The sequence below is a fragment of the Homo sapiens genome, chromosome 11 (genome assembly GCF_000001405.40).
Source record: "Homo sapiens chromosome 11, GRCh38.p14 Primary Assembly".
In the NCBI taxonomy this organism is placed as follows: domain Eukaryota; kingdom Metazoa; phylum Chordata; class Mammalia; order Primates; family Hominidae; genus Homo; species Homo sapiens.
In genome coordinates, this window is record NC_000011.10 from 65,764,945 (window position 1) to 65,786,914 (window position 21,970).

A 21,970-nucleotide genomic window follows, 5' to 3' on the forward strand; every position below is an offset into this window, starting at 1 on the left:
TTGCGACTGGCTTCTGAGGTGTGCACAGTCTTGCAGGACTGAGCCCTTAACCTGTGGGTTCTGACTGTAACTCCAGGTAGATGGTGTCAGAATTGAATTAAATTATAAGACACCCTGTTAGTGTCCACTAGAGAATTGTTTGGTGTGTGGGTTTGATCACCCACACATTTTGGTGATCAGAAGCATTCTATGTTGAGTGTGAATGTAGAAGGAAAAACAGTCCATTGTTTCCTAACTCATACAAAGGCTAAGGTGCTGTATGTGGGCAGTCTTTGCTTTGCCCAGTCCCCATATGGACATATTTGGCTTACCACATTTTAGTTTAATAACTCCAGTCCTCCCCACCAGCATGGTTCAAACTTCATTTGCCATGGAATTTTAACGAATTGTATAAGGTGCAAACCTTGCTGCTGGCTCTTTAGTCCAAAAAAATGACATAAATAACAGATGGGCATCATGATTAGGACATCACTGCTTTCGAAGACTAGTGGTGATTGGCTGGTCAGTGCCGGTGTGTTATTCAGCTCATGCAGACGTCAGACAAGTGTATAGGTGGGTTGCCTCCTCATCTCTCAGTGATCAACAGATATAACATTTTATGAAATTCAATGATTGGGCTGGGCGCAGTGGCTCACACCTGCAATCCCAGCACTTTGGGAGGCTGAGGTGGATGGATCACTTGAGGTCAGGAGTTCAAGACCATCCTGGCCAACATGGTGAAACCCTGTCTCTACTAAAAATACAAAAATTAGCCAGGCGTAGTGGTGGGCGCCTATAATCCCAGCTACTCGGAGGCTGAGGCAGGAGAATCACTTAAACCTGGGAGGCAGAGGTTGCCGTGAGCCGAGATTGTGCCACCGCACTCCAGCCTGGGTGACAGAGTGAGACTCCATCCATCTCAAAAAATAAATAAATAAAAAATAAATTGGATGGATAATTGGAAGGGGGAATGGCTAACAAATATAAAAGTGCAGCCAAAAAAAATGAGGATGATAAGACTGGAAGTGAAATTGTATATGAAGCTGTGGCATGAACTATATCGAAAGTCTGATGAATATCATGATATGGTTTGGATGCTTGTCCCCTCCAATTGTCATGTTGAAATGTGACCACCCCAATGTTGGAGGTGGGGCTTAGTGGGAGGTGTTGGGCTATGGGAGTGGATCCCTCAGGAATGGCTTGGTGCCCTCTTCGAGGTAATGAGTGGTAGTAAATTCACACAAGAACTGGTTATTTAAAAGAGTGTGGCAGCTCCCCCTCCCTCTCTCTTGCTCCCTCTCTTGCCATGTGATACACTGCTCCCTCTTTGCCCTCTGCCATGATTGTAAGCTTCCTGAGGCCTCACCAGAAGCAGGTGCTGGTGCCATGCTTCTCGTACAGACTGTAGAACCGTGACCCAAATAAACGTCTTTTTTGTATAAATTACCTAGTCTCCAGTGTTCCTTTAGAGCAACACAAAATAAACTAATACATATAATAAACAAGGTAAAGTTGCTTCAACATATTTTTTTTAAATTTTTTTCTTTTAATTTACTTTTTTTTCTTTGTTGCCCAGGCTAGTCTCGAACTCCTGAGCTCAAGCAATCCTCCCACCTCAGCCTCCCAAAGTGCTGGGATTACAGGCATGAGCCGCCACGCCCAGGCTGCTTCAACATCTTTTAGTTTAAATTGCGCTGGAAACAGAAGTCGTTCGTGGTTGAAATGGAATGTTTACTTCTATGTTGAACTGAAGACTGTAATTTGTTAACAATCCCCATTGGTTTGGCCAGCATTCAGGCTGAAGCATTGAAGTTAATTGCCACATTGACAGAAAACAGTAATTTCAAGGAGACTGCAGAAACTTTTACTAACGGTAAAGAGTGGTTTGTTTCATCATTTCAGAAGTTGGCATGAATTGATTAATGTGAAACTGTCAAGCACAGATGAGGATGTTGCTGTGAAATCTATCCCCAGATGTCAAGGATTTTTTTTTTTTGTCAGTGTCTCGTTCTGTTGCCCAAACTGTACTGCAGTGGCACAATCATGGCTCACTGCAGCCTCAAACTCCTGAGCTCAAGCAATCCTCCTGCCTCAGCCTCCCAAGTAGCTTAGATGCTAGGCATGTGCCACCACACCCAGCTAGGTTTTTACATTTTTTTAGAGGCCAGGGGCGGTGGCTCATGCCTGTAATCCCAACACTTTGGGAGGCCATGGCTGGCGGATCACCTAAGGTCAGGAGTTTGAGACCAGGCTGGCCAACATGGTGAAACCCCGTCTCTACTAAAAATACAAAAATTAGGCCAGGCATGGTGGCACACGACTGTAATCCCAACACTTTGGGAGACCAAGGAGGGCAGGTCACCAGGTCAGGAGTTCGAGACCAGCCTGGCCAGCATAGTGAAACCCCATCTCTACTAAAAATACAAAAAAAAAATTTTTTTTCTAGAAATGGGGTCTCACTATATTGCCCAGGCTGGTCTTGAACTCCTGAGCTCAGGCAATCCTCCTGCCTTAGCCTCCCAAAATGTTAAGGACTATAGGCATGAGCTACCACATCCAGCTGATTTTGTTTGTTTAACTAACCACTATACTAACGAGGATCAAGGATAATTATTACGGCAGGCAGTGGTTACAAAAAGGATAAAGATATCCTAGAAGAAATGCCGCTGGCAAAAAGTTTAAAAGAACTTGGAGATATTTCACAACGTTGGAAGTACAAAGGATAAGATGTTGAAAGTTGATCCAAACTTAGGAAGGAGTATGACAATTTGCCAAGGCATGGAAAACGTGTTTTTTTTTTTTCTTTTGAGACGGAGTCTCGCTCTTGTCGCCCAGGCTGGAGTGCAATAGCGCAATCTCGGGTCACTGCAACCTCCACCTTCCAGGTTCAAGTGATTCTCCTGCCTCAGCCTCCTGAGTAGCTGGGATTATAGGCACCCACCACAACACCCAGCTAATTTTTGTATCTTTAGTAGAGACGGGGTTTCACCATGTTGGGCAGGCTGGTCTTAAACTCCTGACCTCAAGTCATCTGCCCGCCTTGACCTCCCAAAGTGCTGGGATTACAGGCATGAGTCACCGTGCCCGGCCTTCTTTTTCTTTTTTTTTTTTGAGACAAGGCCTCACCCTGTCACCCAGGCTGGAGTGCAGTGGTGTGATCATGGCTTACTGCAACCTTGAACTCCTGGGCTCAAGCTGCCATCCTCCTGCCTCAGCCTCCTGAGCAGCTAGGACTTCAGGCATGCGCCACCACACTTGGCTGTTGTGTTTTTTCTTTTTTTTTTTTTTAATTTTTGTAGAGACAGGGTCTCACTATGTTGCCCAGGCTGTTCTCAAACACCTGGCCTCAAGCTATCTTCCTACCTTGACCTCCCAAAGTGCTGGAATTACAGGTGTGAGCCACCATGCTCAGCCCATATATAGTATTTATAATCGTTCTCTTTGGTGTGGATGAAACACATCTCTATCAGACTGGCTCATGGGTGCAGAATTCCATAGGTACTTACTGAAAAACAGAAAATTGTTTCCTATAATCATGATACTTGAAGGATAGTTTGTCTGAATATAAAATCCTGGCTCACACTTGTAAAGGTGTAATGTCTAAAACCTGCTGCTCCATTGCTGTCTTGCTTTGTATGCTGGTTTAAAAAGTCTGCTGTTGGCCTGGCGCAGTGGCTCACGCCTGTAATCCCAGCACTTTGGGAGTCGGAGGCCGGCGGATCATGAGGTCAGGAGATCAAGACCATCTGGCTAACATGGTGAAACCCCGTCTCTACTAAAAAAAAATACAAAAAATTAGCCGGGTGTGGTGGTGGGCACCTGTAGTCCCAGCTACTCGGGAGGCTGAGGCAGGAGAATGGTGTGAACCTGGGAGGCGGAGCCTGCAGTGAGCCGAGATCGCGCCATCGCACTCCTGCCTGGGCAACAGAGCGAGACTCCGTCTCAAAAAAAAAAAGTCTGCTGTCATTCTCATTATTTAATTATTTTGCCTTTGTGAGTTATTTGATCTTTTTGCCTGGAGTCCTTGAGGGTTTTTTTAAAAGAGTCTTTGAGGCTGGGCACAGTGGCTCACACCTGTAATCCCAGTACTTTGGGAGGCCGAGGTGGGCAGATTACCTGACGTCAGGAGTTCCAGACCAGCCTGGCCAACATGGCGAAACCTCGTCTCTACCAAAAATACAAAAATTATCCGGGCGTGGTGTCAGGTGACTGTAATCCCAGTTACTCAGGAGGCTGAGGCAGGACAATCACTTGAATCCAGGAGGTGGAGGTTGCAGTGAGCCAAGATCATGCCACTGCACTCCAGCCTGGTTGACAGAGTGAGACTCCGTTTCAAAAAAAAAAAAAAAAAAAAAAAGAGTCTTTGAAATTAGAGTTTTACTAGGATATGTTTCAAAGTTGATCACACTGAGTGAATCTGCCCACATTCCCAGTGGGCTCTTCCAATGTGCAGAGTTTTTGCTCCTGGACAGTTTTCTTACAGTGTTAAATATTAGTTGTGGTTTACTTGTTTATTTTTTCTTCAGGGACTCCAATAATACACATGTGATTCCTTCTTTGAGTATATTCTGTTTCCATTACTTTCTTTGGACCCAGCCTACTTCTTTATCTCATTTTCATTCTCTTGCTTGGTTACCTGTATTCCTTCAATGCCCCTTATTAAATTTTTATTTGAATTTATTCTCCCTTGGGCATCTTGTAATTTAATCTTTACTTCTAGATAATTTTGTCTGTTTATTCCATTTCTTTCCTGAGTTCAACCAAATCTATTTTCATTTCTTCCTCTATTTTGTCTATTTCTGTTCTTTGTTTTTAAATTTCCCACCCAAAATGGTTTTGCATGTCTTCAAATGCTTGTTTTGCATATATTTGGTTCTGTTTAGTGTTGTATTACAGCTTTCTTCTTCTTCATGGCTATTGTTTCAGAGGTTTGTGTGAATTTTCCTTGGTTCATATGTGATGAAATTCATTTTCTGATATTTTGCAATAGCTGTATGAACCTATCTTTTCATTATTCATTTTTGTGGTATTGGGTGTTTTACAAGATCCCTAGATAACACGCCCTCTTCTGGCAACATTGTGAAGTCCAGATGCTTTAGTGAATTTGTTTTTGCAGGGGTGGGGGTTGTGGGCCTTCTTTTTTTTTTTGTCTTGGAGGGCAATTAAACTTCTCCATTTGCCTCTCTCTTCACACCCAAATGCCAAAGGACACTTTTCCTTTCTTTTGTGGGTAGTTGCTCCCCAAGGATCTATGTGTTTCCAAGACTGTGGCTTCACATTTCACGTATAACTTTTTTTTGAGACAAAGTCTCGCTCTGTCATCCAGGCTGGAGTGCAGTGGCACAGTCTCAGCTCACTGCAACCTCCACCTCCTCGGTTCAAGCGATTCTCCTGCCTTAGCCTCCTGAGTAGCTGGGACTACAGGCACATGCCACCATACCTGACTAATTTTGTATTTTTAGTAGAGATGGGATTTCACCATGTTGGCCAGGCTGGTCTCGAACTCCTGACCTCAGGTGATCCACCCGTCTTGGCCTCCCAAAGTGCTGGGATTACAGGCGTGAGCCACCGTGCCTGGCCTCACGTGTACTTTTAAACCTCCCACCTATTGTCCCAGCTCTGACACTACTGCAGACACTTTTGAACATTTTCAGGCTCAAGGTGTACTTAGTGTTTTTGGTGAGGTCTTAGATCAAGCTTAAGCCCCATTACAACTCCCTCCTCTCCTTTGCCCCAGTTTTCCTCAGCCAGTCTTGTGGCAGGTGGGGCTGGAATGGGTGCGTGGGAAGGAAAGTCTGAGCTGCCATTTGTTTTTCCTTTTTCTTTCTTTTCTTCTCTTCTCTTTCTTTCTTTTTTCTTTCTTTCTTGTCTCACTCTGTCACCCAGGCTGGAGTGCAGTGGTGCAATCAAAGCTCAGTACAGCCTGGACCTCCTAGGCTCAAATAATCCTCATATCTCAGCCTCCCAAGTAGCTAGAACTGCAGGTGCACACAACCACACCCAGCTAATTTTTGTATTTTTTGTAAAGACAGGTTTTCACCATGTTGCCCAGGCTAGTTTCGAACTCCTGGGCTCAAGGAATCTGTCCACCTCAACCTCCCAAAGTGCTGGGATTACAAACGTGAGTCACCACGCCCGGCCAGGTAATTTCTATGTTATTTGTTTTTCTTGTTCTTTTTAAGTTTGAGCATTCTTGTCTCCAAGTTATCCTGAGGGCTTGCTGTTGCATAATTTTATCTTTTCTCCTCATTCCATATTGTTTTTCTAGGCGACACTGGGGACCTACAGTGCTACCATTGTCCTCCTACCTGAAAGCCTCTGACAAAATATTGTCTTCCCATTCCATTGAAGGTTCAGAGGCCTCAGTGTCCAAGGGAGAATGCCGCCAGGAATGGACACTGCATAGCTTTTTTTGAACCGGAAGTAAAGGCTGCCCCGCTGTCGCTTTGCCTCAGGACCAAGAGCTCTAAGAGGAAGACTGACCCTGACTGTCCACCGAGAAGCTGTTGCTGCCATACAACGGAGACAAGGAGTCCATCGTATCCAGGGGATCCCCTGAAATATCTCTGAGGATTGCCAGGTTCAGTGACAGTGTTAATGAAAGCCTCAAGTGACTCAATACAAGCAGAATAACCAAGGACTCAGACCCTTCAGGAATGAAGTTTGGGTCACCTCATGAAGTAAAAGAACCAAAGGAACATAGAATGGGTATGGAAGAAAGAAGTTGTAAATATCAATCCAGGGTTAACAGATAAAATACAGGATGCTCAGTGTTAAAAGGAAAACTTTAGCTCAGGTAAGTTTCACAGTGTTTAACTGAGCAAAGAACAATTCAAGAATCAGGCAGCCTCTCATGCCAGAGTGGGCTCAGAGACTCCAGTGCAGCCACGTGGTGGAAGATTTATGGACAGAAAGGAAAATGAAGTACAGAAAACACACGTGAGATATAGAAACCAGCCAGATTGGTTACAGATTGGTGTTTGTCTTATCTGAACACAGTTTGAACAGTTGGCCACCTTTGATTAGCCAAAACTCAGTGATTGCCACAAGCGTTGGCTACAGTCTGTTTACAAGTCCATTTAGGTTATAGTTTACGATGTACAGAGAAACCTTTAGGCCAAACTTAAAATATGTAAGGAGGCAGCTTTAGGCTAAACGAGATTTAACACTGGTTATAGCCCGGGCACAGTGGCTCACACCTGTAACCCCAGCACCTTGGGAGGCTGAGGCGGGTGGATCACTTGAGGCCAGGAGTTGGAGACCAGCCTGGCCATCATGGCAAAACCTTGTCTTTACTAAAAATACAAGAATTAGCCAGGTGTGGTGGCACATGCCTGTTATCTCAGCTACTCAGGAGGTTGAGGCACAAGAATAGGCTGAACCCAGGAGGCAGAGGTTGCAGTAAGCCAAGATCACACCACTGCACTCCAGACTGGGCAACAGAGCAAGACTGTCTCAAAAAAAAAAGAAAAAAACAAAAACAACAAAAAAAACCCACCACTTATATCTGAACCTTGGAGAAACAACTACTGGTTTTTTAGTGTAAGTATGTCCTATTAACAACTAAAAAATTCATTGCTTCTCCAAAATTCAAACTTAAATGCACATCCTATATAATATTTTTATTTGCTAAACCTAGGAACCCTAATTAGGGCCTCGTAACTCATTGCACAAAAGATTCATACTTTCTTCCTTGCATGTAAAATAGAGATTAACCGATATCTTTCCCCATCTTTTCCCTTGTTTCATATAAAGTGTATTATTGATAATTGTTAACGAAAAAAAGAAAAGATACACAATTTATAAATTTTGAGAGGAGACTTTATTTCTTATAAAGGGTTAGGCTGGGCCTGGTGGCTCACACCTATAATCCCAGCACTTTGGGAGGCCAAGGCAGGAGGATCACTTGAACCCAGGAGGCCTTAACCAGCCTGGACAACATAGTAAGAACCCATCTCTACAAAAAATTTTACAAATTAGCCAGGTGTGGTGGCATGCACCTGTAGTCTTAGCCACCCCGGAGGCTGAGGCAGGAGGATCACTTTTGCCCAGGAGTTTGAGGTTGTAGTGAGCTATGATCGCACCACTGCACTCCAGCCTCAGAAAGGGAGTGAGACCTGCTGGGAAGCATGTCTCCAGCCAAGACCAGAGACAGGCACTTCAAAGAAGGAGGGGTTAGGGTAGGAGCTTCATGCTCAATGGATTGACTAAACATACACATTCAACAGGTTACATGAGGAGCTATGAATATTCATGAAAGTGGTTCTGACACATGCATATTGAACAAACATGCATGCAACATACAACCCATGGTCACTTTGGGGTGGAGACTTAACATTTAAATGTATTATAATTAGGCCCTATATGGCAAAAGGTCTTTTCAGGACACAAAGACATGCAAGTGCAGGAGCTCTGTAAGCCAGCCAGAACCAGTCCATGATGGGTAGTCACCTTGTCAGGAAAAAGTTACTGAAATCAGTCACTTGTCCAACCAAAGCTGTAGTTATGGCTGGTGGAACAGTGGTTGGAGGTCAGTTAGTCAGCATCTGATGAAGCTGAAAATGTTTTTAATATTGCTTATCTCAAAGCCAGTGCTTGGACCGGGTGCGGTGGCTCACGCCTGTAATCCCAACACTTTGGGAGGCTGAGGCGGGCAGATCACCTGAGGTCAGGAGTTCAAGACCAGCCTGGCCAATATGGTGAAACCCCATCTCTACTAAAAATACAAAAATTAGCCGGGTGTGGTGGCGGACACCTGTAATCCCAGTTACTCAGGAGGCTGAGGCAGGAGAATCACTTGAACCCAGGAGGCAGAGGTTGAAGTGAGCCAAGATCACGCCACTGCACTCCAGCCTGGGTGACAGAGTAAGACTCCGTCTCAAAACAAACAAAATAAAAAGTGGTTTTTGTTTTGTTTTGTTTTTAAGCTTTTTAGCTGCTACAGGGAAAAAAAAACCAAAAACAAAAAACCTTGTGCAGTTAGAACATAGTTTATTCATAAGTTGGGGGCAGGGGAGGCGGGGCATGAAGGTGGGCTCTACATGACTTAACCCTTGCTTGGCATGGCCTTAGGTCCTGTTTACAATTTGGTATCTTATTGCCACAGTGTCTGTTCTGTCCATCTCATGATCCCTATTTTGTTCATTCATGCTCGGCAGCTGTGTCTAAACCATAAAGGGATGGGGTATAACAAGTTGCATCTGACCTCCCAACCCATCAGGGCCAGGAATTGTTTTAAGTTTTTTCTGAGATTCCCTCGGCCACGAGGTGGCATCTGTTCAGTCGGTGGGGTTTTAGGATTTTTAGTTTACATAACTGATTTGATAATCCAGGGCATTTGTTACAGCGTATCCAGGTGAGATTATGACTCAACTATTTAGCACCTCCATCTCAACATGTACTTCCCCAACGGTCATGGCAGAGGAAGAGAGGGCTGGAAAATTGAGCACTGGCAATGACATATTTTGCCCCAAAACTGACCCCTTCACATTTCTTTTTTCTTTTTTGAGACGGAGTCCTGCTCTGTCATCCAGGCTGGAGTGTAGTGGCCCAATCTCAGTTCACTGCAACCTCCACCTCCCGGGTTCAAGCGATTCTCCTGCCTCAGCCTCCTGAGTAGCTGGGATTATGAGCACGCCACCACACCCGGCTAATTTTTGGATTTTTAGTAGAGACGGGTTTCACCATGTTGGCCAGGCTGGTCTCAAATTCTTCACCTCAGGTAATCAACCCACCTCGGCCTCCCAAAATGCTGGGATTACAGGTGTGAGCCACCGCCCCCGGCCCTTGACTCCCTTCACATTTCATTAGCCAGAGCTGGGCTTGTGGCCAGACCTGCCTTGAAGGAGGCAAGGAAGGGTATGTGAACATGAGCAACGTCCACACAGGTGGACAAGGTGACCCGTGTGACTTTGGTTCCCTCTCTTTAGGAAGAATTTTTGGTTGTACTTGGGACAGTTACAGGCATGCTGCTATTGCCATGATCTTCGGGAAGCTGAAGTGATGAGCAGCAGTGTGTGATTCTGAGGACACAGAGGGCTGGGGTCTAGGAGCTATCTCAGGTGGGCTCAGTCAGTGCCATCCTCCCTTTTGGTGCCTCCCTAGAAGTGCTGAGAAGATGCAAAACCAAAAGCTTTTACTCCAACATTGCTTAGCCAAGCTAAGCACATGCATTCCCTATGATTCAGCAATTCTGCTCCTAGCATGTATCCCAGAGAATTGTCCCATGGGTCCATAGGGGCATATAAGAATGGCCATTGCAGCAAAGTTCTGGTTGGGGTAGGGGGAGCTGAAAGTCATCTGGTGTCCACAACTGGAGGAATGGATGGATAAAATGGGATGGATGCACAAGTGGGCAGACAGATGGGTGAAAGGATGGTCAGTCCTTACATGGACCAGTTTCCTTATTCTTAGGCTAAGGATTAGCATCTCCAGGCAAAAAGAAAACGTTTCTGGATTCCCTTGCCACTGGAGTTCCGTGGAAGAGAGAAATGGAGTCCACTAATGAGGTGTCCTTTGAAGGATATGGATGGAGGACACAGGGCCAAGGAAGTTTGCTCTGCGGGCCCAGCCTTGGAGATGTTCAGTCCTTCTGCAGCAGCACCACGCTTCTGGCTTTGTGGGTGTCAGGAGGCAGGAGTGGCAGTCCCACCCCATGTCCCAGGGCCCAAGCCCAGCTTCCTGGGTGCTTACAGGGGATGGCAGGCAGGACAGTACGTTCTGATCCCAGCTCCAGTGGGAGCTTCCTGGAGGCGACTTCTCCAGCCTTCCCATGTACTTTAAGTACCCTGATTCCCTTAAATCCCCTTCTGCCAAAAACAGCTGGAGAAGTTTCTGTTTCCTGAAACTGACCCCTTCCTGATTTGGAAATGACTTGCCGAGGTGACAAAGCAAGTTATTGCCACATCTCAAGTTTGAGACAGGCCTCCTGACTCCACCTATTAACAGTACCACTGTCCCAGGCCCTTTCTTTTTTTTCTTTTTTTGAGACAGAGCCTTGCTCTGTCGCCCAGGCTGGAGTGCAGTGGCGTGATCTCGGCTCACTGCAACTTCTGCCTCCCAGGTTCAAGTAATTCTCCTGCCTCAGCCTCCCAAGTAGCTGGGATTACAGGCGCCCGCCACCACGCCCGGCTAATTTTTGTATTTTTATTAGACACAGGGTTTCGCCATGCTGGCCAGGCTGATCTCAAACACCTGGCCTCAGGTGATCCACCCGCCGCAGCCTCTCAAAGTGCTGGGATTACAGGCATGAGCCACCGCACCCAGCCCAGGCCCGTCTTTCCTCTCCTAGTCTGCCCCAATCGGAAGGATCAGGAGGCGTAAAGCTGGCCCATGGGGAACCTGTGGCTGGGAGCCCATGAGGCAGGGGCAGCAGAAGAGGGCAGAGACGGTTGGGACCTCTGTGGCCCTGGCTGAGGTCTGCTCTGATGGCATGGTAATGGAAACCTGCTACCAGATGACAAAACACTATTACCAAACAGCTGGGTGACCTTAGGAAAATCACTCAACCGCTCCTGCCTACGGATTTCCTCATCTGCGGGGCCCTGCAGAGCTGTTGCAAGGATGAAATGAGGCAACGTACATGTGCCTGGCAGCACAGCTGACCCCACACAGCTCAATCCTCAGTGTTTGCATGTTTGGGAAAAAAAAACAACAACTAGAGGAACTAGTTCTTCTTACCTGGGAAGATTCCTAAGCACAAATTAGGTTTCTTAGGGGCTGAGATTAGAAAAAACTTGGTCTCAGACCCTAGACCTTATTAGCAGGCCCTTCCTAGAGCTGGCTCTAATCGGCACAGCTTGGGAAGCTCTCCACCTGGCCACTGCTGTCTTTCTGTTTCTGGCTTAGGCCCACTGGCCTGCCTGGCGTGAGCTCCCTGGGGCAGGGAGCTTGCAAACCTTGGGAGTTGAGAAGCGCTGGCTCGGCCAGGTGTGGGGGCTCACACCAGTAATCCCAACACTTTGGTGAGGCTGAGGCAGAAGAGTCATTTAAGCCCAGGAGTTCGAGACCAGCCTAGGAAACAGGGAGATCCTGTCTGCAAAAAATACAGTGGTGACTCACACCTGTAGTCCCAGCTACTCGGAGGCAGGCTGAGATGGGAGGATCACCTGAGCCTGAGAGGCAGAGTCTGCAATGATCCCTAATCACACCACTGCACTCCAGAGCGCCAGAGTGAGATCCTGTCTTTAACCCCTCCCCGAAAAAAAAAGAAAGAAAAGTACTGTCCAACAGGTCAGGTCCACACTCTAGCTTCAGCCTTCTTCCTAAATCACTGAGTGGCCTTGGGCAAGGCCAGACCCTCTCTGGGAAGCAGAAAGGAGATTTTTCCCCTGCCTCCTGGGCAGAGATTCTGGAGAGCACTAGTGTGTCTGGGTGAGAAGGAACTCTGTAGCTCTACAGTGCCGGGTTCTGTCTGGAAGCCTTCTTGGGGCCTATGACCCTGCTATGGTTTGAATGTTTGTCCCCTCCCACGCTCACGTTGAAATGCGATTGCCACTGTAACAGTATAAGATTAGACCCTAAGAGGTGGTCAGGCCACGAGGGCTCTGCCCTCCTGCGTGGACTCAGGCCGTTATCTTGGGAGTGGGTTCGCTCTCTCCCCTCACTCCTGTCACTCTGTCCTCTGTCATGGGAAGATGCAGAAGGGTCCTCACTGGGCTCTGGGCCCTCCACTATGGACTTCCCAGCCTCCAGAGCTCTGAGCCAATACATTTCTGTTTATTATAACTTACCCCGTCTCAGGGATCTTGCTAGAGCAGCAAAAACAGACTCAGACAGACCCTCACCCCCAGGAGCCTGCTCCCAACCGGGGCCCAAAAGAAAACAAGCCAGCGAGGGCACTGCGGAATGCAGGGTTTTGGCGACAGAGCTACAGGAGTGTGCCTTGGCCCCCACAAGGGCCACAGTCCTGCCCCCACCTGGTCTCCCGGGGCTCAGACAGCAGCCGCCAGCCCACGGAGGTAGTCCCCCGCCAGGGGCAGCACGGCCCAGTCATCGGTCCGCAGGGCCACAGGCACTCCATCTGCCAGGGCCGCCTCCAGCCGCAGCAGCAGCTTTGAGTCCGGGGGCAGGTGGATTGCTACACAGTAGCTGGTAGGAGGCTGGGCCACCACCACAAAAGGCTCCAGGTGGCGGGACACCAAGCCCTCCAGGCCCTGTGGCCCAAGTGGACACCACACACGACTCTCAGCACCCTCTGGCAGGCAGGAATCCCAGAGCTCCTCAAAGAAGCCCAGCCCGGCCCCCTCTGGAGGCTGCGGGAAAGGCAGAAAGAGGTCGGCAAAGTTCACGAACAGGGGTGGCAAGTGGGCATGGCACGTGAGACCAGTGGATGTGGTGTAAAGGGCATGGACATCCAGCCGTGCGGGGGCCGGGCATCGGGGCTGCAGAGGCAGGAGCAGAGGGCGGGCAGGGCGGCCAGGACACAGGCAGGGCACATGGACAGCCTCCAGGGGTGCATACAGCTGTCCTTCCACACGGAAGCGCAGCTCCAGAGAGTAGATGGGCTCCAGCGCCTCCGGCTGGAGCTTCAACACTGGGAGTGGGCCCTTGACCCGATGGGACCCCAGGCTCAGCCGTACCAGGGCCGGTGCCTCCTGCACCATCAGTGCTGCCACAAAGCCCTGGTTCTCGGCCACCAGTGAAGAGGCCAGTGCAGGTGCGGCAAGCGAGGGGCCCAGGGCCACCCCCAACTTGGGTGCTGCCAGGTGTGCCAGCAGGATGTAGTAGAGGCGGGCGTGGTCACGCCCATCAGGGTCCTCCAGCTGCCTGGCCAGCACCTGCAGCAAGTCGACCAGGCCGCCCCTCACCCCTGCCCGCAGCAGCGCCCGGCAGACCCGCAGCAGGCCCTGCTGTAGGTCCCAGTTCGTGCAGTGGGCAGCCGCGGCCTGTAGAAAGTTGAGGGTAGCACTCTGGGCATCTCCATCTGCCACCTTTGCCAGCATTTGCAGGTGCCAGCAAAGAGCTTCATCCCTGCCCGGCCTGGACACCACCACCTGCCGCAACACCACCTTCAGGGGCTCCCTCAGCTCAGAGTCCACCTGATCCAAGAGGTCCACAAAGTGGGGAGCCAGCATGGGCCGGGCTTGGTACAGCTGGGCCAGTCCGTGGATCAAGGGGGTCAGCACCGTAGGTTGCCCAGCCAGGCAGCAGGCCACCAGATACGAGGCCTGGAAGCAGAGAGTGGCCAAGGCCCGGGGGCCCCCATCCAGGGCTGCCCGCTGCCGCAAGCCAGCCAGCAGCTCTTCCAGGTAGTGCCGTGGGCTTGGAAGCTGGCCTTTCTCCTCTTCTTCCTCCTCGGCACAGAGCAGGCACAGTAAATGCAGGCGGGCCAGGAGGGCCATTGGGTCATGCAGGAGACTGGGCAGGAGACCACGGCATAGCTGGGGCCCTAGCAGCAGTGGGGCAGCCTCCTCACCTTCAGGGCCCAGCGGCCAGTTCTCAGGGAAGCTCAGGACGCAGTGAAGGTAAAAGAGATGGGTGGGCGGAGGCAGAGCAGGGTGCTGGGCAGCCAAGGTGAGCCGGCGGAGCAGCAACGCTTCATCCTGGGCTGTGAACAAGGCCTCACCAAAGGCCGCCTTGAGCGCAAGCATGGCGTGCAACAGTGTCAGCTGTGCTGTGCCTAGCAGCCGTACCAGCTGCGGCTTGAAGAGTGCCGGTGGCTGTCCCTGCAGACCCCGCAGGGCCCAGCCCAGCAGCCACAGGAGCTGGGCCTGGGCCACAGGAGTGAGCAGATAGGAGGTGTCCAGAAGCTGGATCACCGCAGCCCGCAGCTCCCGCGCCTCCTCAGGGCTGTGCTCTCGTGCTGTAAGGCTACGCTCCCCCTCTCCCTCCTCAGCTGCCGGCCAGCTGGGTGCCTGGGGCTGAAGGCGTCCATCGCCCTCCTCCACTAGTGTCCAATCCCAGGGACCACCCCCAGTTGGGGAGACCTTATCCGTGAGCAGTCCCCCCAGGCCAGCCCCAACCCGGGACTGGAGCACCAAGGTGTTGCGCAAAGCGAGGGCCAGCAACAGGCTGAGTGGCTGGACAGGGCCTTCCTGCCCCAGCAGGCCCCGCAGCAACCCCAGGGAGCCCCCCAGCAGCCCGGGCTTGCAGCTCTCTAGCTCTCGCAGGCACTCGCAGGCCGTGGCCTGCAAGGGGCGCTGTTCCGAGGCGGGGACAAAGCCTCGCCCCAGATCGCTACCCGCGGCCAGGCCGAGCAGTAGGGGCAGGAGCCGGCAGGAGGCGCCCGAGGTGGGGCCCAGCGCGCCGCCCGCCGCCAGGGCAGTGGTGGCCGCCAGCAGCAGTGGCCGACGGAGAGCTGAGGGCCGCGGGGGTAGGAGGACCAAGGTGTCCAACAGGGAGGTGGCGGCCACTTCGGCCGCAGAGGCGTCGGGCCACAGCTGCGCAGGGTACTCCATGCTCAGGGCCAGCAGGGAAACCTGGATGGGGGATTAGGAGGGAATCACGAAGATGAGGTTCATGACGCGGCGGGCTGGGGTGACCCTGCGGAACGGCGCAGGGGACGCGTGGGGGCCTACCTTGGTCTGTTCGCTCAGCTTCTCACTTCTCAGGTCGCTCAGCAGGTCGCGACCCAAATCCTCCCCCTCGGGACCTGCCATGAAGGCAGACGGGCTGGCCCGGAAGGCCCCCAAGCGCTGGGCCCAGGCGTCCCGGCTCAGGGGCCCCATGGTGAGGCGCGCGGGCCCCTGCGCAGGGAAGAGGGACCCTCAGGCCGCAGCCACCGGGAGCGCGGGGCCCGCTGCCGACCCCGAGGGGCTGCGGTCACCCCCAGACGCCGCGCAGATGCCGGCGGGACCCGCGCCCGGCTCCCACGGTGAGACCAGGGCTCTCGGGGCCGACGCCAGAGCTGGGCGCCGGGGCCCTCGCGGGACAGGACAGGAGCAGGGCGGGGGAGGGTGCGTGCCGAGAGCTCGTTAGGCCGCCTCCCTCCCGCCCGCGGCCCGCACCGAAACCACAGCGCCACCCCGGCCCCCGGCGCCGGCGGTAACGGGCCGCGCTCGCCGCCTGACTCAGCCGCCGCGGGCACTCAGGCCGGCCGGCTCCTTCCGGGCTGGCGGCGCGGGGCGGGGCGCGGCGCGGGGGCGGCCGAGTCCGGGCGGGGAGGGGCGGGGCGTAACGGGGCCACCGCCTCCCGCAGGTGTCGACTCGCAGGTTTCGCGGGGGCTGACTAACTGTCCCGCCGCGCAGGCCCCCTTCCCCGAAACCGCCGCAGGCCGGGGCAGGAAAGGCGGAGGGGAGTGGGTAGGGGTGGCGGAGCGGGGTGGGCCTGGGCCCCAGATGCCGGGTACCGCGGCGCAGGGCTGCGATCCCGCGGCCCTCGGCGGACAGCGGCCCGGTCCCACCAGCGCCCGCCAAGCCGCGCAGGGCGGCAGCCAGCGCGCCCCCCGCCGGCGCCCGGGCACACCGCACCCTGCGCCAGACGCGCGGCCCCGGGGGGCGTGGGTGCGGGTCCTGGGGCTCCCGGAGTGGCCCCTGGGGGTGACCAAGGTGCGGTCGCAGGGCGCCCGCAGGAAAAGCGCCCCAGCTGAACCGGTCCGGCGGGCGCCGCAGGGCTTGGCTTCGCTTCCCTGACGCCTGCCCGGGCCCCCAGCCCGCTCGGCTTGGGGGCGAGGAGCCGGCGCCGCGGTTGCGGCCAGCCAGGAGCTTCTGACCTTTGTTTGCCCGAGGCCGCGCTGGCGGCCCGCAGGGGTCGTGACGGCGAGGGCGGGGCAGGGCCCTAAGTCGAAAACAACGGGATCCATACTCGGGAAGTGCGGGCTGTCAGGGCCTGGCCGGTCACGGGGCTCGAGGCATGCCTAGCGATGGGGAAAACAGGCCCAGGAGGAGGGCGGCCTTGCCAACCGAGATCTGGGGCCAAGCCGGGCCGGAACCCAGCACTCCAGACTTCAGTGGGCTGGATTCTGGCTGTTTGGGGGCATTCGGGGGTCTGGGCGGCGGTCTCTCCCAGGCCAGAGGCCCAGGTTGCAGGTGCCCCACAGACCACCGGTTTCCAGGGCACAGAACCGCCGGCGCCCAAACCTCACCACCCCTCTGGCTCCAATTAGCCGCTTTGAAGATGAAACAGGCCTGAGCCCCCATGCAAGCCAGTGCCAGCTGGCCTCTCCCTACCCCATCCTGCTCCAGATGGGAGGTGGTGGAGAGTTGAGGGGTGGAGAGTGCCAAAAAGGAGGCTGTCTGGGTGCCCTTGGGGATGGAGAGATAGAGACCCACTCGGAGGGACAGGTCCAGCCAGAAGGCCCGGTCCCGGCTCCTCTAGGCCCTGGCTCCACAGTTGACTCACAGGCAGCAGCCCCAAACTACTTCCCTCTAGGTGCCTCAGTTTCCCCATCTATAAAATGGGAGTGATAACTCCCACCCAAGAGGCTGTGGGGTGAGGCAGCCTGGCTAATTAAACCCAAGATGAAAGAGGCAGGATGAGAGCAGCCCTGGGGAGGGGAGGCAGCCTGCAGTAGGAGCCAGTCTGGTTTCTCTGTCTGAGCCCAGAGGGTGCTGGTAACTGCACATCCCCGGCCCTCACCACCCTCACGGTGAGGCAGGAATGATCATTAAACTTCTTGCAGAGTTGAGAAGACAGGTTTCCAAGGATCAGGGGGCCTGACACTGGCTCTGGCCCCGGCTCAGCCTCTGACAGCGTGGCCTCTGCACACCTCCTGCCTGAGTCTTGACTCCTTGAGGCTGAGGGTCTGGAGGGAGGGAACCCACTTGTGGTCTCCAATACTGCAGTGGACGAATCCGCATGGACTTACTGAGGCTCACAGCAACCCCAGGTACCGAGAGTGGGTATCAGATGAGGAAAGGGAAGCCCACAGAGGTACGGTCTCTCAGTCACAGAGCCCCTCAGAGGTGGAGCCTCGACTTCCACAAACAGCCCCTTGTTGCATCTGACCTGGTCCTCCCCCCACACCAGGTACCCTCGGCCCTCTTGGGTGTCCAGGTCCCTGGATGGGCCCTGTTCTCACCTGTCTGCTCCCCTATTGGCGGGTGGTGCTGGCTCTGTCCCTGGCAAGGCCAGGCATGGAGCTGAGCTCAGACTGTCACCGGACTCACCCGGGACAGCAACATCCCAGTCGAGGGCCCAGGTGTGGGCCACTGCCGGATGCTGAGCTGGGAATTCCCCACTCCACGCCCTCCCTCATTTCTTCTCCTGCTGAGTTTCTGTCCTCCCCATGCAGCCCAGTTGTGGGCAGACACTAAACACAAGGCTTGTAAAAGGGAAAGTCAGCTTCCCAAGGGGTCCTGAGCCTCAGTTTTCTCATCTGTAAAATCGGGCTACAACAAACACACTCTCGCAGCACTGGCTGCTGGGGATACAGGAAGGCTTAGGAAAGAACGAGTCAATAGGCAAAGCCATGGAGATAGAGCAGATAGTGGGTGCTGGGCCAGGGGGAAGGGAGACACAGTGACAGCTAATGAGTACAGGGTTTTCTTTGGGGCCATGAAAATGTTCTGAGATTTAGTGATGATGGTTGTACAGCTCTGTGAGGTTACTAAAAACCAGTGAATTGTACATCTTACAAAAGGGTGAATTTGATGGTATATGAATTCTATCTAAATAAAGCTATTTAAAATGGTGTTTAAAAAGGGGTCCCACCCCAGACCAGCAGGGGCACAAAAAGTAAAAATAAAAAATAAGGCCGGGCACGGTGGCTCACTCCTGTAATCCCAGCCTTTGGGAGGCTGAGGCGGGCAGATCACGAGGTCAGGAGATTGAGACCATCCTGGAGAACATGGTGAAACCCCGTCTCTACTAAAAATACAAAAAAATTAGCTGGGCATGGTGGCGGGCGCCTGTAAGTCCCAGCTACTCAGGAGGCTGAGGCAGGAGAATGGCGTGAACCAGGGGGTCGGAGCTTGCAGTGAGCCGAGATCACGCCACTGCTCTCCAGCCTGGACGACAGGGAGACACCGTCTCAAAAAAAATAAATAAAAATAAAAAAGTAAAATAAAAAGGGGTCCCTCAAGTTCAGAACTTGCACTGGTGGGGAGGAGAACCAACAATAAACAAGAAAGACAAACGAAACGCCACAGAGTCAAAGTTGTGGCAAAGAAAATAGGATAGTGGGACAGAGGTGGCAGGGGACAAGGATTTAGCTGGGGTGGATGGAGAGGCCCCTCAGAAGAGGGGACATTTGGTTGAAACCTGAATGAAGAAAGGTGGCCAGTAATCCAGTAGGGAAAAGTGTTCCAGGCAGAAGGAGCATCGGGAGGAGGGGCCAGAGCTGGGAACAGGCCAAGGCTTGTTCAGGGGACGCGGGAGACAGCAGTGTGGCTGGCATACAGGGACCCAGCTGGAAGGGGATTGGGAGGTCAACGGCGGCCCCAGCACGCCAGGCCTCAGGCTCTTATTCCAGCTGCAGTGAAGCCACTGGAGGGTGTGAGCCGAGGGGAGGCCTGGCCTGGGTTTTAAGAGCACCTCGTGTGGCCCACCTGCCTCTCCAACCTCAGCTTCCCTACCCTCTCTTCCCCCCACCGCACGGCCAGGTTGCATTTGGGTTCGCGGTACACACTAGGCTCACTCCTGCTCAGGGCCTTGGCATCAGCTGTTCCTTCTGCTGGTCATGATCTTCTCCACTCTGCACAGCTGGCTCCACCCTCTCATTCAGGCCTCAGCACCCCTACCTGCCACCATCACATTCTCTCGCCAAATGTTCTCTGTGCATCTTAGGCTTCTGCTTGTTTCCTTGTTTCTTTGTCTGCCTTGCCTTGTAGAATCTCAGTGCCTGGCACAGCAGGTTCTCAGGAATTAAGGGAAGAATTACGGGATGAATGAACACCATCTAGCTGGCACTGTGCTGCTAGATGAACAGAGATGTACTGCTAGATGTGGTGAACAGAGCACAGGCCGCCAGCCTTCGTGACACTCACAGTTCAACTCCGTGTTTCCCCGCCGTCACATACATCGTCTGTCTCCTGAGCTGCCCGTGAAGACAGCCACACCACACACCGCGGCCTGTGGGTCAAACCTAACCCACAAAGGTGTTTTGTTGGATCCATTCCATGTTTTAAAATTTTTTGATTAGCTGGGTGTGGTGGCAAACACCTGTAGTCCCAGCTACTCAGGAGGCTGAGGCAGGAGGATCACTTGAGCCCAGTAATTCGAGATTGCACCACTGTGCTCCAGCCAGGCGACCTGGTGAGACCCCAACTCTTAAAATTATTTTAAAAATAAAAAAATTGAGCTAACATTTAAAAATTAGTTGATTTCACTTACAAATCTGGACTTCTGGCTTCTCTTGGAAAATGGAAAGCTGTGGCCACGTGGGGTTTGTGCATCTGAATGACAGGATTGTGACTGCCGTTTAGATAGGGACATTCTCTCCCGTCCCCCCAACTCTGTTCTCCCCAACGGCCAGGGCCAGTTGTGTTTTCTCACTGAATTTGTAGTATTGTCTTCCCATATCTATGTCTCCACCAAAAGTTGGACTGTGAAAGGTGAATGGGTCACAGGAGTCAAGAAAAGAGGATATTCATTCATTCAACAAACATTTATTGATAACCCACTTTGTGCCAGGCACAGCTGTAGATGCTGGAGATATAGCAGTAGACAACACCGCCTCCCACCTGGGGCCCCATTCCACATCCTGTAACTCACTTGTGCAGGGAGGGGTTCCCCTGGCTGGCTTCACTTTATCTACCCAGTGTCCTGTCCCTCTGGACATTGGAGTTGCTCCCTTGATGGGGAAGACTGCCCCTTGTGTCTAGGGACATCTGTGAAGACTTCACCGTAGTATCCACCGAGCACCCACTGTGTACCAGCCCATCAGGGCTTGGCACAACAAAACTGCTCAACCAATATTTGTTGAATGAATGAACTAACTGCACCTCTGTCCTAGACAGATTGTGTTTAAGGTTGTTTCTCCTGGATTCACCTCAAAAGATAGGCACATACCAGGTGTTCACTTAATGTCAGTTGAACTCAAAGGTCTGGCTGGGATCAGAGTGGAGGTCACAGCCCTTAGAAAGGCAGGGGAAGAGGCAAACACGAACGCCCCATCCCTGCCCTTAAGTAGGTCAGCGAGTGAAGGAAGCCCAGCCAGCGCCCAAGTGTCACGATGAGAGTGTGGGCTTCATGGAGGCCTCTGAGGAGCGGGGGCATCCCTCCACGTGGGCCTGGGGCCTGAGGAGAGTATGAAGAGTGGCTGGGGGCGCGGGTCCCAGGCTGAACCTCAGCCCTGGGCAGGCCGTGGGTAGGAAGCTCTCCGCGGTGGCCGCAGCAGGGCAAAGGCGGCTGAGCCTTTCCCGGTCTGAGGTCCCCAGCCCTCCGCGCTCCACCAGCCTGGCTGCACCTGAAATCCACCCATTTGGGACAAGGAGGAGTTTTTTTGAGGATGCATAAGTCCCACTGGCCAAGACACGGGGGTCTGTCGGGCTCTCGGCGCACTCCGCGCAGTTGAAGCCACTTCCTCCGTGAAGCCCTCCGGGCAGAAGGCGGGTTCTCCGACGGGTACTCGGTCGCGCGGTCCGTGCCTCCCCACACACCGGCCGGGGCCGCTCCTGCGGCCCTGCGTGCCTTTTCGCACAAAGCCGGCGCCCAGCAAACACCTCCCCGGCTGAGCCACGAGTTGCTTAGCCAAGCCTTTGGGATCCCGCGCCGCCTGGGCCCAGGCCCGGTTCAACAAGTGCGGACCGGGCCGCCCGTTCCCGCCCGGCGGCTTCGCGCCTCCCCAGGAGCCTCGGGCGCGCCGGGTTGGGCCGGCCCCAGTGGGGCGAGTTTCGTGTCATCACCCGCGGAGCGTGCCAGCGCCGGTGCAAATAACGTTGCCCCCTCCCTCCCGGCTCCGCTCGCTCCGAAACTCCTGTTTGCAAACGCCAGTACGCCTGGCTAGGAGGTCCCGCGGGGGCCGGGCCGGCTGGGCAGCCAGGGGCTGAGTGCCCGAAGCTCGCCCCCCGACCCCGCCCCGCCCGGCCGCCCCGCCCGGGCCGCGAGGCCACCTCACCCGCAGCGGAATGGAAACCGGTTCGACAGGTAACAAATAGGTGGGTTGTCACC

General features: G+C 53.4%; 1 protein-coding gene across 1 annotated transcript, besides 8 other annotated features; it reads right to left on the bottom strand.

The window, feature by feature from the left end:
• Positions 1 to 8,953: 8,953 nt before the first annotated feature.
• On the bottom strand, positions 8,954 to 16,032 carry AP5B1 (adaptor related protein complex 5 subunit beta 1). Its single transcript, NM_138368.5, has 2 exons — positions 15,498 to 16,032; positions 8,954 to 15,398 (listed from the first exon to the last, which is right to left on the bottom strand). Exons 1-2 carry the CDS (start codon positions 15,645 to 15,647, stop codon positions 12,912 to 12,914), a joined length of 2,637 nt encoding a protein of 878 aa, NP_612377.4. The 5' UTR covers positions 15,648 to 16,032; the 3' UTR covers positions 8,954 to 12,911.
• Positions 12,401 to 13,305: an enhancer, noted in NCBI's record as "H3K27ac-H3K4me1 hESC enhancer chr11:65544816-65545720 (GRCh37/hg19 assembly coordinates)". NCBI's record gives its function as "activates a minimal SCP1, AML or CMV promoter by ChIP-STARR-seq in naive H9 embryonic stem cells {active_cell/tissue: H9 hESC(naive)}" and the evidence as "EXISTENCE:reporter gene assay evidence [ECO:0000049][PMID:30033119]".
• Positions 15,106 to 15,375: a silencer, noted in NCBI's record as "silent region_3554". NCBI's record gives its function as "represses an Ori minimal core promoter by ATAC-STARR-seq in GM12878 lymphoblastoid cells {active_cell/tissue: GM12878}" and the evidence as "EXISTENCE:reporter gene assay evidence [ECO:0000049][PMID:35858748]".
• Positions 15,106 to 16,485: a biological region, named in NCBI's record as "H3K27ac-H3K4me1 hESC enhancer GRCh37_chr11:65547529-65548431".
• Positions 15,114 to 16,016: an enhancer, noted in NCBI's record as "H3K27ac-H3K4me1 hESC enhancer chr11:65547529-65548431 (GRCh37/hg19 assembly coordinates)". NCBI's record gives its function as "activates a minimal SCP1, AML or CMV promoter by ChIP-STARR-seq in naive H9 embryonic stem cells {active_cell/tissue: H9 hESC(naive)}" and the evidence as "EXISTENCE:reporter gene assay evidence [ECO:0000049][PMID:30033119]".
• Positions 15,526 to 15,705: a silencer, noted in NCBI's record as "silent region_3555". NCBI's record gives its function as "represses an Ori minimal core promoter by ATAC-STARR-seq in GM12878 lymphoblastoid cells {active_cell/tissue: GM12878}" and the evidence as "EXISTENCE:reporter gene assay evidence [ECO:0000049][PMID:35858748]".
• Positions 15,746 to 16,485: a silencer, noted in NCBI's record as "silent region_3556". NCBI's record gives its function as "represses an Ori minimal core promoter by ATAC-STARR-seq in GM12878 lymphoblastoid cells {active_cell/tissue: GM12878}" and the evidence as "EXISTENCE:reporter gene assay evidence [ECO:0000049][PMID:35858748]".
• Positions 16,746 to 17,403: an enhancer, noted in NCBI's record as "H3K27ac-H3K4me1 hESC enhancer chr11:65549161-65549818 (GRCh37/hg19 assembly coordinates)". NCBI's record gives its function as "activates a minimal SCP1, AML or CMV promoter by ChIP-STARR-seq in primed H9 embryonic stem cells {active_cell/tissue: H9 hESC(primed)}" and the evidence as "EXISTENCE:reporter gene assay evidence [ECO:0000049][PMID:30033119]".
• Positions 20,824 to 21,805: an enhancer, noted in NCBI's record as "H3K27ac-H3K4me1 hESC enhancer chr11:65553239-65554220 (GRCh37/hg19 assembly coordinates)". NCBI's record gives its function as "activates a minimal SCP1, AML or CMV promoter by ChIP-STARR-seq in primed H9 embryonic stem cells {active_cell/tissue: H9 hESC(primed)}" and the evidence as "EXISTENCE:reporter gene assay evidence [ECO:0000049][PMID:30033119]".